The sequence below is a fragment of the Homo sapiens genome, chromosome 4 (assembly GCF_000001405.40).
Source record: "Homo sapiens chromosome 4, GRCh38.p14 Primary Assembly".
NCBI lineage: Eukaryota > Metazoa > Chordata > Mammalia > Primates > Hominidae > Homo > Homo sapiens.
Window position 1 is genome coordinate 161,060,242 of NC_000004.12, and position 15,265 is coordinate 161,075,506.

Genomic DNA, 15,265 nt, shown 5'->3' on the forward strand with positions numbered 1-15,265 from the left:
TTCTAACTGGTGTGAGATGGTATCTCCTTGTGGTTTTGAATTGCATTTCTCTTATGGCCAGTGATGATGAGCATTTTTTCATGTGTCTGTTGGCTGCATCAATGTCTTCTTTTGAGAAGTGTCTGTTCACATCCTTTGCCCACTTTTATAATTTTTTTCTACTTTCAAAACTGAGTTCATAAACCCTCTTTTAACTTCTTTGAAATAGTATTTTAAATGATAATATTTTCCTATTTCTATTATGGTTTTTATTGAATCCACATAGTATTTCTAAATTGTTTTCTTAATTTTTAAGAATATAAGTATCTTCAACTTAGTTACAATGTATACAGCAGAAACATTTGGTAAGCTATTAGTCCTTTTGAAATTTTGGAGACTTGCTTTATGGCAAATCTATGTTTGTTTTCTTTCTATGCTGCAGTGTAGATAGTTGTATGTGCTCTATCTTCAAGTTCACCAATTTTCCATTCAGCCCTGCCTAAACTTCTGTGAAACATATCCGTTCAGTTTTTAATTTTGGTTGTGTTTTGGTGTGCATTGGTTTATTTTTTAAAATATTTTATGCCTTTTAAAATTGTTTTATTGTTTTCAAGTCTAATAAAAGTGTGAAAACGTGCATTTTATTTCTTACTACATAGTAATCATAATTTGTATTTGTAGGCTGTGGTCGATATTTCCAAATAGTCCTCGGGGAAATATTTCAATTTGTGGATTATGCTCATTCTTAATTACAGTGTCTTGTTTCCTTTTATGTCTGGTCATTTGTACTCCATATTAGACCTTGTATAAAAAATACTTTTAATTATCCTTGCTTATTTCACTTTTGTGTGATTATATCTTCTTTCAAAGATGATATCCTTTACTTATATTTAATGCAATCTTTGATCATATTAATGTAAGTTTGGGATTTGTTTTTTCAGCTAAAGCTTTAAAAGACCATGTAAAGACAGGCTTTAATGCATGGCAGCCTGCTTTAATCCAGTTAAACCTTAACTGATGACAAAGATCTTTGAGTCCTACGTTAACATACTGAATGGTTCATCAGCATCACAAAATGTTTCATATCTCATTTTTTTTAAGTTCCATAGATGAAAAACAGATTCATTTGTAGTTCTTTCTTCCTTGATTATAAATGCTTTCAGAATCCATGGTTATTAGTATGACTTTTTTTTGTTTGTTGTTTGCTTGATTTATTCCTCAAATCATGGCCTAGAAATTCTTCATTGAATGGTTAGATCTTTGGTATTTTCAAGAAGATAAAATATGTTTTTGAATGAGCTTGGTTGTTCTCAAGGAGAACATTGACCATATTATACATTGTTTTATCCACCATTACAGGAAGCAAGGATTCCGAGTACTCTTCTGAGTACATGGCTATTTCAAGGAAATTAAATTCATAGATACAAGTGGTTCAAATCCAGGCTGCATTAGTAACTGTGCAATCACAGGCAATTTTATTGTCCTCTCTTAATCTTGTTTCCTACCTATTTAATATTGGGATGGTAACAGAGATTTTCAGAGTTTATGTGAGAAATATAAATGTATATAGAGTAACTAACATATGCATATGTCACATAAAAGAGCAACCAAACAGATGGCTCATTATTCTGGTCAGTATTGCTACTATTAATGTAAATTTAAAATTATAATTCAAACTGAGTAAATCATTTATCATTGTCGTGTACTACATAAATACTTGTAGAGAAAACCCACCTATCTTCAAAAAAATAGAGAAAATATGAAAGTGAGAGAGAGAGAGAGAGAGAGAGAGAGCACAGCACATTGGGTATATAACTATTATGTAGAAATCTTAATATCCTCCCATTACACTTAGACATTGTTCGGTAATTTTCTAGTTCGGTTTCTGATATTATAAATCTAAAAATGGTGATACAGAGTAGATTAAAAAGTTAGAACAAAAGACTTACGAGAAAAAGTTTAAAAATGGAAAAATTCTTAACCTGTTAATAGGAAACACTTGTTGTCCTACATATGAAGAGACGTGATTTAGAGATTCTCTCTTCAAGTCCTTGGAAAGCAAAATAAGAAAAGAGCTAAAATTAAGTGAGAGAGATTTGTTTGAAGATATGTTTTTGGAATGTAAGTGGTGTTTAAAAAAATGACAGAGCAATTTGAAGAAAGATGTGCCTGGTCTTTCCCTGGAGATTCTGAAAATATGATGAATAGTCACAGGTTAAAATCTGTTAGAATCTTTTTTAAAAGGTAGAAAAAACGTTAGATGATCTCACCGGGGTTACTTCAATCCTTTAATTCTATTTTTGTAGGACTCAAAATTATAACTGTATTCTTAGCATAAAATGGCCAGTTACAAATACATCCTGGTAATTTCAAAACAAATAAGCAAACAAACAAAAAATCTTACTATACAAAGTAATTTAAATTATATTGTGTATCTTGTAGCAGATAAGATCTGAGCTTTGGCATCTTAAATAATTTGCTTTGTTTCAGGTCAATGCTAAGCAAAAATTATTTGGAAAAAATGTTTAATTAACCTGTGAAAGATTAACTTTCTCATTGATAAAATGAGGACAATAATTCACACAATTGATCTTAGAATTTAATAAATAAAATAATACATATAAATCAAACTTTCACCATGCCTAATAAGCATAGTTTCTTAAAAATTACTTCATGAAAAAACAAATACAACAAATAAAAGCAGGCAATAAATTAACTAAGAATATATAATCTCATGATAAAATTGAATAAGAACTCCATGCTTTACTAGGAGAAGTAATCAAATGGTTAAGTCAAATAATTAAAAAGTGAATTTATCTTTTTTGTTATCATTGAATGTGACCTTGATTTTTTCTAATATTTAAAATTAGATGCATTTGTATAAACTGCCTCAAATCTTTCTCCTCCTGCTGCTCCTACTTCTCCTCCTTCCTCTTTTACCCTCTCCTTTTCTCTCTCCTCCTCCCTTTCTCTCTCTTTTTCTCTCTCCTCCTCCCTTTCTCTCTCTTTTTCTCTCTCTCATTCTACTTGATTTTATTTTTCTTTATCACTAGATGGTTTTGAGGCCTAAGGCACAGAATTAATCTCTCTATTTCAGTTTCCTAATGTACAGTCATGTATTGTTTAAGGGCAGGGATAAGCTCTGAGAAATGGGTCTTTAAGCAATTTTGTCATAGTGCAAACATCATAGAGTGTACTCACACAAAGCTAGATAGTGTAGCCTACTACACATCTAAGCTATAAGGAATAGCCTACTGCTCTGAAGCTACAACCTCGTATAGCATGTTACTGTGTTAAATGCCATAAGCAATTATAACACAATGTTAAATATTTCTGTATCTAAATATATCAAAACACAAAACAAGTTATAGTAAAAGCATGATATAAAAGTAAAAAACGGTACACCTGTGTAGGGCACTTACCATGAATGAAGCTTATGGGACTGAAAGTTGCTCTGGGTGAGTCAGTGAGTGAGTGGTGAATATGAAGAGCTAGGACATTACAATACTGTAGACATCATACATGATATACTCTTATGCTACACTAAACTTGTAAAAGTATTTTAAATTATTTAATAATAAACTGATCTTAGCTTACTGTAACATTTACTTTAAAACCTTTTTTTTTTTTTTTTTTTTTTTTGAGACCAAGTCTCCTCTATCACCCATGCTGGAGTGCAATGGCACGATCTCAGATCACGGCAACCTCCACCTCCTGGGTTCAAGCAATTCTCCTGTCTCAGCCTTCCGAGTAGCTGGGATTACAGGCAAGCGCCACCATGTCCATCTAATTTTTTGTATTCTTAGTAGATACGGGGTTTCACCATGTTGGCCAGGCTGGTCTCGAACTCCTGACCTCAAGTGACCCACCCACCTCGGCCTCGAAAATTGCTGGGATTACAGGCGTGAGACACTGTGCCCAGCCAAACTTTTTAATCTTCTTAACTTTTTGATTTTTTGTAGTAACACTTAAGTAAAACACACGTTATTCAGCTATACAAAAATATTTTCTTATTTGTATCTTTTCTATAAGCTTTTTCTATTTGTATTTGTAGTGTTTTTTTTTTTTTTTTTACTTTTTCAACTTTATGTTAACAACTAAGACATAAATACCCTTATTAGCCTAGGCCTACACAGGGTCAAGTTCATCAGTGTCACTGTCTTCCACCTCCACGTCTTCTCCCATTGGAAAGCCTTTGAGGGTAATAAGAGGCATGGAGCTGTCATCTTTTGTGATAACAATGTGTTCTTTTGGGATACCTCCTGAGGGACCCACCTGAGACTATTTTTAAGTATTTTTTTAATAAGTGGAAGGTGTATACTCTAAAAAATGATGAAACAAAATAAAAACATAAACCAGTAATATCGTCATGTATTATCATAATCAAGTATTTTGTACTGTACATAAGTGTATGTGCTGTACATTTATTGGAAGTACAGTAGGTTTGTTTATTTCACCACAGACACGTGAGTAATGCTTTGCACTATGACATTATGACGGCAATGACATCACTAGGTGGTAGGAAGTTTTTGACTGCATTATAATCTTATGGGACCACTGTTGTATATGCCGCCCCTCTTTGACAGAAATGTCATTATGTAGGGCATGGTTGTAATTGTAAATATTAAAGTATTTAATATATTTAAAGCATTTAAGACAGTTTCTCCATCTAGCAAAAAATAAGGAATTGTTAGTTATCATCTTTGCATCTTATAAAAAGGTATGGCTCTGCTTGATTTCAGCTTAACAATGTAAATTACAGTAACATAGGGTTGTTATGAGGCAGGAACAAATTAACATTTAGAATACTGCTTGGCACATAGCAAGCATTAAATGTGTTTATTTTAAAAATTAATATACCATGCAGTAATCATACAGTAGACTTAATTTTCAAGAAACTTAGCCATCTAACAAAATATGTATATGTTCGTGTCTATGTGTACAAAAGGCAAGCTCTAGATGTATTGAAGATATTAACATTTAATAGAATTTGAAAATTATTCTAATAAAGATTTGGCATATCATGTGATATAAGGGATGTGTAAATAAATAAACATAATCCAGGAAATTTATTTTTAGAAGTTTAATTACTAATGTGATTTATTCTTATAAGGTTAAAACTAATAACCACATGCTAAGTCACCAGATTCATTATAATTAATTTAAAATTAAAAGTATAATTGTTTCAATTTTATATTTATATACATATATTATATCTTTGTTGGCAAGGCATTGGTATTCATGACAGTTTAACATTTCTGGAGGAGGAGTTAGCTGTGTTGGTTTATATCCAGAGAGTTAATAGCAATGCCTATGCTTGAAGTTCCCAAAATGTGTGCTGAGGTGCTCAGGTTGCAACAGTGAATTCACCCAATTCCCATGGAATAATGCATTGCATTTCATAATTTTCAAGAAAAACACAGCAACACTCAACAGAGTTACTAAACATCATACATCACACGATACTTCACAGTTCAGTATTAATGCACATTGAATTCCTTTCAATGGCATCATGTCTTTGCAAATCTGTGTTTTCAGAAATTGCTATAATAAAAATCAAGTACTGAGGGAAAGCTACCACAAAACAGATTTTAGGGATACTGGTGTCCAATCTAATTCCAAAATTTGAGAAGCTATAAAGTGTGCAAAAGGTAAATATATCCATTTTATAAGACATTGTGGTTTTTTAATAATGAAATAAAATATTTTCTTACAATTTATATGTATTGTTTTAAAATGGCTGTACTGTTTAGGTTAACTACTTAATAAATAAAATTGATTAGTATTTATTTTATGGAGAAGAACCATTTTTTACTGTACATAAGTGTATGTGCTGTACATTTATTGGAAGTACAGTAGGTTTATTTCACCACAGACATGTGAGTAATGCCTTGCACTATGATATTATGATGGCAATGACATCACTAGCTGGTAGTGATCAGGCCAGAGTAAGGACTCTGTTAGCTGCAAAAGTTTGGGAACCTCTGGTCTACAGCAAAAGTGCTGCTCCCAGATATCTCAATCCTGAATGTCAGAATAGTTCTCTATTCTTTTCATATCCAGAGAAAACATTTTGCTACTCATTTTCGTTATTTTTCCACCCAAGCCACAGTGTACATATTAAAATTCTCTCATTAAATGTTCTTTCAGCTTTGGAATTTCACTCTGAGCAGTGTTTTAGTTAATGTCTGTAGTAGAAAACAAACAAATAACATCATCAACAACAACAAGGAGAAAGTTTCTGGTCTTTATTCTCCTAATATCAATATTTTTTCTTCACCGTTTGTTACTCCTTGAGGTTCCTGAAGTAAACTAGAAAGATGCCTTGGCACAACACTCTGCCAATACATAAGGGGATTCTATCATTGCAAGTAACAAAAAAAAAACTAATGAGAAGTGGACCTGGCAGCATCTCAAATCTGTATCAATGTTATGCATTTTGAAGAAACACAATTTTATTGGTAAAAATAAATCCCTTTAGATTGAACTAATTTTAGTCTATGTACTTCACATAGGCCTCTGTGTTATGATACAGGAGCAGAAAGAATGAGGCTTCTTCGCAGTAGACAGATTGAAACTTTCACTCTAATTTGAGAGTTTCCCTCAAATCTCTCTGTCCAATTGACACCTGTGTTATTTCCCATTGTTAAGTTCTGAAGGAATGAATGTTACAAAAGACCTGGGTGATATGATCACTAGTCTATGGCCAAACACATACCAGAATTATAGAGATCAAATATAGCAAATGGAAGAAGGGAAAATAATTCTAAAACAATGAGAGAAGTATTCAACCCACTTTTCTACGTAAGGCAGCAATATGTTTAACCGCACAATGTCAAATATTGAAAATATTTCTTACCCTTGGGGAAGGAATGATGTCAAATATTCGATATTTTATTAGGGATTTTGGAAAATTCCCTGGATTTTGACTGCAGACATCAAAATGAAAATAGAGGCTCAAAATCAGTCTGGGAGTTCAAGAGGGGTGAATAATGCTCAACTGACAATTTTCTCTCCATCCTTTTCCTCTCCACAAAGCCCATTTCTATTAAAGGTAAATGTGTCTCTCCTTTATGTAAGTAGCGAAGACCTCAAAGCAGTTTTGATTTGTGCAGCTTCTCGAAGCTATTCCAAAAATTCTCTGGACTACAGAGAATCTTTGCTTCATGTGAGTACAACTGAAAGGTGCTCTTATAGTTTCTTTTTATTTTTTAACAGCAACAAAGAAACTTACTACCCCAGATTATTAATTCCAGTTTTAAAAATAGAAAAAAAGTTGAAAATTTCAACTTATATTTCTCTTTTACCCCAGAATTTGACACAATACATATTCCTAATCAATATTTCAAGTATCTTAATATCCATTTTTACTCTATTCTTAAGTTCAAGCTGTCTGATTTCCACCCTCTGTTTAGCAAGCTCTGTGTAAAAGATAATTTTCTTAAGCATCTATGTTTCTAGAGATAGTCCTGAGGATATGGAGGTTAAGTGCTAAAAATGCATGTGAAATGCATAGGAAAATATTTGACACACAGCAGGCACCTAATGGAACCTATAGATGCAAGCATTCCTCCCCATTAGAAGTAGAAGTTGGCTCCCCTTGGGGACTTGTGACAGTTTCATTAAGGTATAAACCCTTGGAAATTCTGGTGAGGGGGAGGGAATAAATCTCCTTCTGAGATTGAGGAAAATTTTCCAGAAGTTCATTTCGGATGATCTTGCTTATGTCTCATTGGCTACAGGTGGTTTATATTTATGGTGCTCCTAAATTATTGTCACAAAATGAGAATGGACTTAAAATGGTTAGCTTAGAATAGTGAGTCTCCTCTTGAAACTCATCTTCATCAGGAGATGGACAAATGAAATCACAGTTCTGTTTAGAAAGAGAGAAAGAGAGGGGAAGTGACTGTCAGGTTGTCAATGTGAATTGTAAACTGCATAATATACTTAATTTGTACTTATCTCATGTTCCTAGCAAGCTATAACTAAACAGAGGTGGTGCACTCTATCAGGCATAGCCTCCACTTCTCTGTGAACAATGCACCCCAACTTTATGCAGAAAACTTTCTAAAGAGGGTTTGTACATTCTTCTCTGTCTTGACTTTGCATTGTCTCTGAATGTCTCTATCCATAGGGTTCCCTAGACAATTTTTACCATTGTACCATTGAGAATCATGCTTTGCATTTTTTTTAACTAATGAGTCTTCCTTCAGGAAAAACATTTTATCCCTTTGTGCTCATATCTGCCTTAAGTGATTTTAAATAGAAAGGGTTCTTAACTTTTCTCAGTGCCTGTGCCCCAGAGTACAGCTGCTTTGCCAAGGTCTGTTCTTAAGACCTTGCTTTACTTCATCTTTAAAACTTACCATAAGTGAGCAATTTGTGCTACTTCAACAATATCAGAGGCATTCATTTCTGTCTTTTATTTTTATTCAGCAGTGACATATTTCACTTATGTTCCACTTCCCATTTATTTTTCAACTATATCTGTAAGGAAGACTTTTAAAGTTATTAAAATGTTAACTGTTTCCTAAGAGCGTTCCTTTGCTATGGCCCGAAATCTTTGTCCTTTTATTTGTCTCTCCTGCCTTTAGGCATAGACATTTGTTTTGCTAAAATTTTTCTCCATATTTTTCATTGAGAATCCCTCACAGTGAAACCTATGAATTCTACAAATTCTCACGTTGATAGAAACATTCATTTTTCAAACAAATCTTTTCTATCCTCTCCTCCTAAGTTGTATAATTCTACCCAAGAGGTATCATTTATCCATTTTATATCTCTCCCCTCCATGGAATACATTTATTGTTCTACCTTCCTTCCCCAAAGAAAGATTTGTCTTCCCTGAGACATACCTCATGCTTCTAAGTAATAGATGTCCCTCAGCATACGTATATAACCTATTGGTCTCCTACCTAAATGTTTGGATTTGTTTTTCTTCTAATACCATATCAAGCATTCTACATTGAGAATAATACTAGTCTTTTCCCAGGAAATCTGACATGATTTTCAGGAACCTATAAGTGATGTTCTCCTAATCAGAAAAGAGAGGGACAAGGCAGTTGTCAGGGAAAATATTAACACCTTTATAAGATAAAAACACACGAAAGAGTTTCTTTAGCAAGTAAGTGTCTCAGAGAATAATTTCACTTTTCTACCTGAGATTTCCCCTTTTCTTCTTTTGAAATGCCTTGTAATTGTTCTCTTGAGAATACACTATCAAATCTCTGAACCTCCAATTTTCCCCAGTTCCATATTGATGAGCAATTTATCATTGAATAAAACACATTCACAGTTATGAATGTGTTTTATTTGTCATTATATACATATTTATCCTATTCTTTAATATTTCAACTCTTATACTAAGGAAAACTTTCAATTCCTACTGTGAATATTATTTTCTGGACCTACTAATCAATTTATTTTTAACATTAGGTTAATGTAATGTTAAAATACTGGAAGCATTCAGAAAGTTGTGTGAAATCTTGCTTCTACTCATCCCTCTTCCTCTATTTACTCCCAAGTGCCCTGCAATGGGCACTTTTATATTCTTGCAAGAAATTATTTAAAAATAAATTATCTTATTACCAAAGAAATGCTCACTGTTTCTATCTGATTCTTATATGGAGATGGCTCTGTAACTTACATTAATTAAAAGAGAATTTATCTCCTGATTGTTGAATGTTTTTGACACTATTAGTACTATTGTCCTCCTGCATTTTAAACTTCAGTTTTCAGGTTCATTAATACAGGAATTTATTTCTCTTTCTCTCTGGACTTAATATCCATGCCTACCAAGTTTTATCTTTTCTTTCCCTGCCTGATTTTGCTAATGTGAGCTTGTTTTCTTGGTAGCATACTGCATATTGCATGTCCAATCAGTGGCTACTTAGGAGGCTCTGCCCACATTTTCTCTCTGTTGCCTATTTCTTCTTTTGTGTGTGCTACTGAACATATGCAGCTTTTTAACATTGAGGGGCTTTAATTTATCAATAAGCAACTACTATTTTATACAAGAGATTCATGCATTGAACCTCACTTCAGTTGCTTAAGACGTATGGGGACCTTTTAATATCAATTACTATATTGGAATCAGAACCCTCCCTGTTTGTTTTGCTTCTAGATCTGGATACAATTAATCCCATAGTTTCAGTTCCTACATACTACTGTCTACTTTTGATCCACAGGCATATTTCTCTAACATTAACCTCTGTAATTCTTTGGTCACTTTCAAATTTCATATCAATATAAGCTTGCTTTGGAAAACCCACCCAAATATACACCCTGTGCCTTAATGAAAAGAGGCAACTAGGAATTAAGTAATTAGGTATCAACCATATGTCATATTTTTAACAATACCACTCATATTCAATTTCAGATCCATGCAAGTTTACAGCATAGTATCCTTCAACCTTCCGCAAGTACAACACAACATTTAATTATACAGAATTATTTCTCTTTATCTTTTTGGCAACTGCAGATATTTTCAAATGCGATTTGCAATCTCTATGCTTAAGGTTTTTTAAAAAAGAGGATATTTCAAGTGAAGATTGACAAGAGTAAAATGTTTCTTTCTAATTTACAGACGTTAAAGAACAAAATGAATTTAGAAGCATTTTCAATAAACTCTTGGGAGCTAGGTACCTGAAAAGTCTCTGTTGTTACTAATGAAAAAAGCATAAAACATTCTGCACATATCATTTATTCATTGTGTCACATTTAAATCTTACTTTGGTGACTATACATACACAACATCTAAATCATGATTTCAAGAAAATTAACAATTATTTTGCCCATAACATCTTATCAATTGTGAGTTCACTGTAGTAGCTATCTTCTAAATCCCATGAAGTATAGGACTAGAGTTATCTCTATTTAATACATTATTTTATTATTCAAATTATTCTTAAATCATTATTTGTAAGATTCCCAAATTAGGCATTCTGACATTGACTCAACTTGAATATAGCAAAGATAAATTATTTATATCTTTACATTGTTTCCTGTAATCGATGTTGTCATTATGATGGGCATTATATATTTTTCGCTGTCTCTTTTCACAAACTTCAAATATTATGAAAGCTTTAGCTCATTCTTATGATTTAACTCTTCAAGCTAAAAATACACAAAGGATATGAAAGGTAAAGATACATCCTCTGAAAGTTTATAAGCATAAACTGTATTAATTGAATTTTCTGTTTTTATACTTATTTCCCATTGTGCATTATATTTAATTTTGCCCTAGAACTTTTATGTTCTTTTTGGTTATGCAATATGAATAATGGTATTATAAACAGGCTCTTATATGATATGGAATGAGAGGATTAAATATGCCCTGACTAAACTTAATTTTACAGTTATAGTAACCAATAAATATTCAATTTATTTTCAACTAAATTTTGTTCAGGTAAAAAAAAAAGATAAAGTTTGAATATGATTGTATAATTATGATAAATAAAATGCCATAAATTTTGTGCTATATTAGATTTCAATTTCAATTTTCATATCACACCCATATTGATTTCACTTATAGAAAGGTTTCTTTCCAATCAATATTATTTTTATTTTAATATTTACTATTGCAATTTTTTTGTTCCAAAACAGCATTTTTTTTCTTTTTTCCTCCACCATCCCAATACAGTATTGAACAGAAGTAGTGTGAAAGGGCATCTTTGTCTTGTTCAATATTTCATCATTAAGTATATTATTAGCTGAGGTTTTATGTGACAGCTGTATATCGACTTGGGGTAGTGCTCATATTTCTCAAATTTTCTGAAGTTGTTGGCTATGAGAGTGTGTTGAATTTGGTCCAACAGATTTTTCTTCATTGTTGAGATTATCATATGAATCGTGTTATATGTTGTTTTAATGTGGTATATTAAATGGATGTAACCAATCTTCCATTTCTGGGATACAAATTAATTTGTCTTCTGTCAGAAATATGTTGCCAAATTCTTTGCATTAATAATTTCATAGGACTTTTACATCTAAATTCACAAGGGATGGTTCTCTGGAAATTTTTTCTTGCAGTTTCTGTCAGGTGTTCGTATGAGTTTTGTACTAGGTTCATGAAATTATTTGGAAAATGTTCCAGTATCCTAATGGTGATTGTGTGAGATTAAAAGTGTTAATTTCTTAAACATTTGGCGGAATTCAGTAGTGAAATATCTTGGTCTTGGGTTATTTTTTTGTGTGGAGATATTTTGTAATACAAATTTAATTTATTAAATATACATGTGACTACTTAGAATGTCTACTTATATTTGTGTATGAGTAAGTTGTGTTTTACTGAGAAATTTATCCATTTCATCTAGTTGTTGAAGTAATTAGCATACAGTTATTCAAAAATTGGGATAAATGTATTCTTTCATTGTCTGGAGAATATTTGGTGATATTCCATCTTTAATCCTTGATATTAGTGTTTTCTGTTCTCTCTCTTGTTCTCTATTAGTCATATTTAAGGGTCATCATGTTAACAAACCTTTCTAAAGTATCAGATTTGTTCTCTTTGTCTCTCTACTATCCATGATTTCTGTTTTTATATTCAATTTTTTAGTTACTTATACTTACTTTGGTTTAATTTGCCTTTTTGTTTCTACCTTTACAAGATGAAATAAAAATCTCTGGTTTTCAGGTTTTTCTCTGATACAAGAACATAAGGCTATAAATCCCTCTTTAAAGGATAATTTAGATGCAACTCGTGAATTTTATTATGTTCTTTATGTATTCTGTTTGTTTCGATAAACCTTATAAGCCATTTGTGACATCTGCTTACCCAAAAGTTAATTAGAAATATGTAACTCATGTGTGGTCCAGTATGGTTCAATATATTGTTTATATTCACAAATAGCAGTGTGCACTAAAAAGAATGTGTGTTTTTTAAGGTGTTGGATGTAATGGTTTACAAAAGTCAATAAGTAAAGTTGGTTGTTAGTATTAAGATCTATAGACTTACTCTTTTTGACTACTTGTTCTACCAATTGTCAAGACAGAAATGTTACAATCTCCAACTATTGTTGTGATTTTTCTATTTCACATATAATATTTTTATGTCGTGATTGCATGACCTTTTATCTTTATGGATTATCAGAGAGAAAAAGAGAGAGAAAAAATTAATCCCACTAAAGAAAAATTGAAATGATTCTAGAAGTCTAATGTAAAAAAAAAAGTAATTTCTGACAAAAGTTTTAAGATGCTGCAAAAATAAGAAGGTAAGTGGTAAATATATGAGCAAAAGACGCAAATATTTACTTAAGAAATAACAATATGAGTGATTAAAAATTTGTAGAATGCTAACTTCTAGAGAAATTAATAAAAATACAGCAGATATATTAGTTTAAAAGGTGTTCCATATTTAGATGAAAATATAATAACATATTTATGTTATGTATTTAAATCCAAATAACATATTTATGTTATGAATTTAAATCCAAATTCACAAAGATTCTTAAACATATGTTTAAAATAGGGTACAATCATATCATATATCCACCAGAAGAACTATAATTAGAAGACTGACTTGGTGATATCTTGGAGCAAGAAGACCTCTCAGGCATTGGTAGTGGTAATGTAAAATGGTAAAATCTCATTGGAAAAAGCTCTAGATGCTTCTTATGAAAAATACACTTACCCTATCATACACAATTGCACTTGAAGGTATTTCCTTACCAGAAACAAAAATACTTGCTCACACAAAACTTCTATAAGAGTGTTCATGACATCTTTATTCATAATCCACAAAACTGGGAACTACCTAAGTGTCTATCAACAGGAATTGATCAACAAATTGTGGTATAGTCTTACAATGAGATACTACTCATTTCAATGAATTAAAAAGGAAGAAACTACTAGTATAACAATAATATAGGTAAATCTGAAAGATATTATGGTGAGTGAAAGACACCTTAACCAAATGAATACCTTATGTATAATTACGTGTATTAATATATTAAATTTTAGAACAGGTAAACCTAATTTTCAGTGGGAAAAATAATGATAATGGTTGTCTCTGGAATGAAATGGGTTAAAAGTTAAAGACTGATGTGAACATTTGTTCATATTTTATACAATGATGAAGATCTGGATTAAAGTATATGCACCTGACAAAAATAAAATAATGTAAAAGAAAGATTTGTGTATTTCATGTAATGTAAAGTTTGTTTAAATACCTATAAATAAATATTGAACTATATTTTTAAATATATATGCTGAACTTAAGGTGGAATTGAACTGCTATCAGCAATTTTCTTTGAAATACAACACAAACTGTATTCATTGATAGAAGTTTGGGTAGATGAATAGATACGTGAAGAAACAAGTATAGTAAAATGCAAAGGTTTATTCTAGGTGCTAAATATGACAGTGACCAGAGTAAAACCTTTTAAACTTTGCTATAGGTTTAGTTTTTAAAACAAAGTATTAAAGAAAAATAGAGTGAAAATATGACGAACTGACAATCATTTAAAACAATTGAGTTTTAAAGCTTAGCACCAAATGAGTAAAAGAGTAATAAAATTGGACAACAGCAGCAACCACTTTAGTGGTTAATGCTCTTCTTCCCTTATTAACTTAAAATATTTATTTTCTTTCAGAAAGAAGATTCAAACTGAAACTACATTAGGCAATTCTTTGTATACAGTTTTGCCCTTGGTAAATATGTGGCCAACAGAAAAACTAATTTTGTTTTTCTGTTTCAGAAGAAGGGATGTTTTATTATAAGCATCTTTTCAAAGACACCTACTGACCAAGAATAATATTGATAGTGAGAAGGAAAAGAAAAAGGTAACAGCCTGGAATAATCAATAAATACACATGAAGCACATAGAGAAACACATGATAGAAACACCCATTTATGCCTATTATTTAGTTATAAAGAAGTTACATACTTTACTTTCTCTTATGTAATTTGGAGCCCACTTTGCTCAATATCTGAATTGTATGAAGTGATAATATTGATTCCCAGTAATTCTAAAAAATAGGAAAGCACATTCTCCAAGCAAACTTCTAACCATGAAATAGCCAGAAAAGGCTCCATCTCTTCCCTCATTGCTACATATAATAAGGCCTTTGCCACATATAGGCAATAAAAATTACAAAATTGATAATTTATTAACTCATTTTTCTAAACATGTATCCAAAGTCCATTTTTGTGACAGTAAATAATCTCTACCGCTGCTATTAATATGTTCATTAGAATACAAATAAATGGACATTTATTAAGTAATTAATATGTGATCGATACAGCAACACATTTTCTATTCCTTTCCTCCATAGAGTGAAAGACAAA

At 31.5% G+C, this 15,265-nt stretch overlaps 1 long non-coding RNA gene across 1 annotated transcript in view; it reads right to left on the bottom strand.

Moving 5' to 3' along the window:
• Positions 1–6,390: 6,390 nt before the first annotated feature.
• LOC105377514 (uncharacterized) overlaps positions 6,391–15,265 on the bottom strand; it is a 58,262-nt gene continuing 49,387 nt past the window's right edge. Inside the window, exon 3 of the long non-coding RNA XR_939408.1 lies at positions 6,391–7,852. This is a non-coding gene — a long non-coding RNA (uncharacterized LOC105377514). The remainder of the gene's footprint in view (positions 7,853–15,265) is intronic.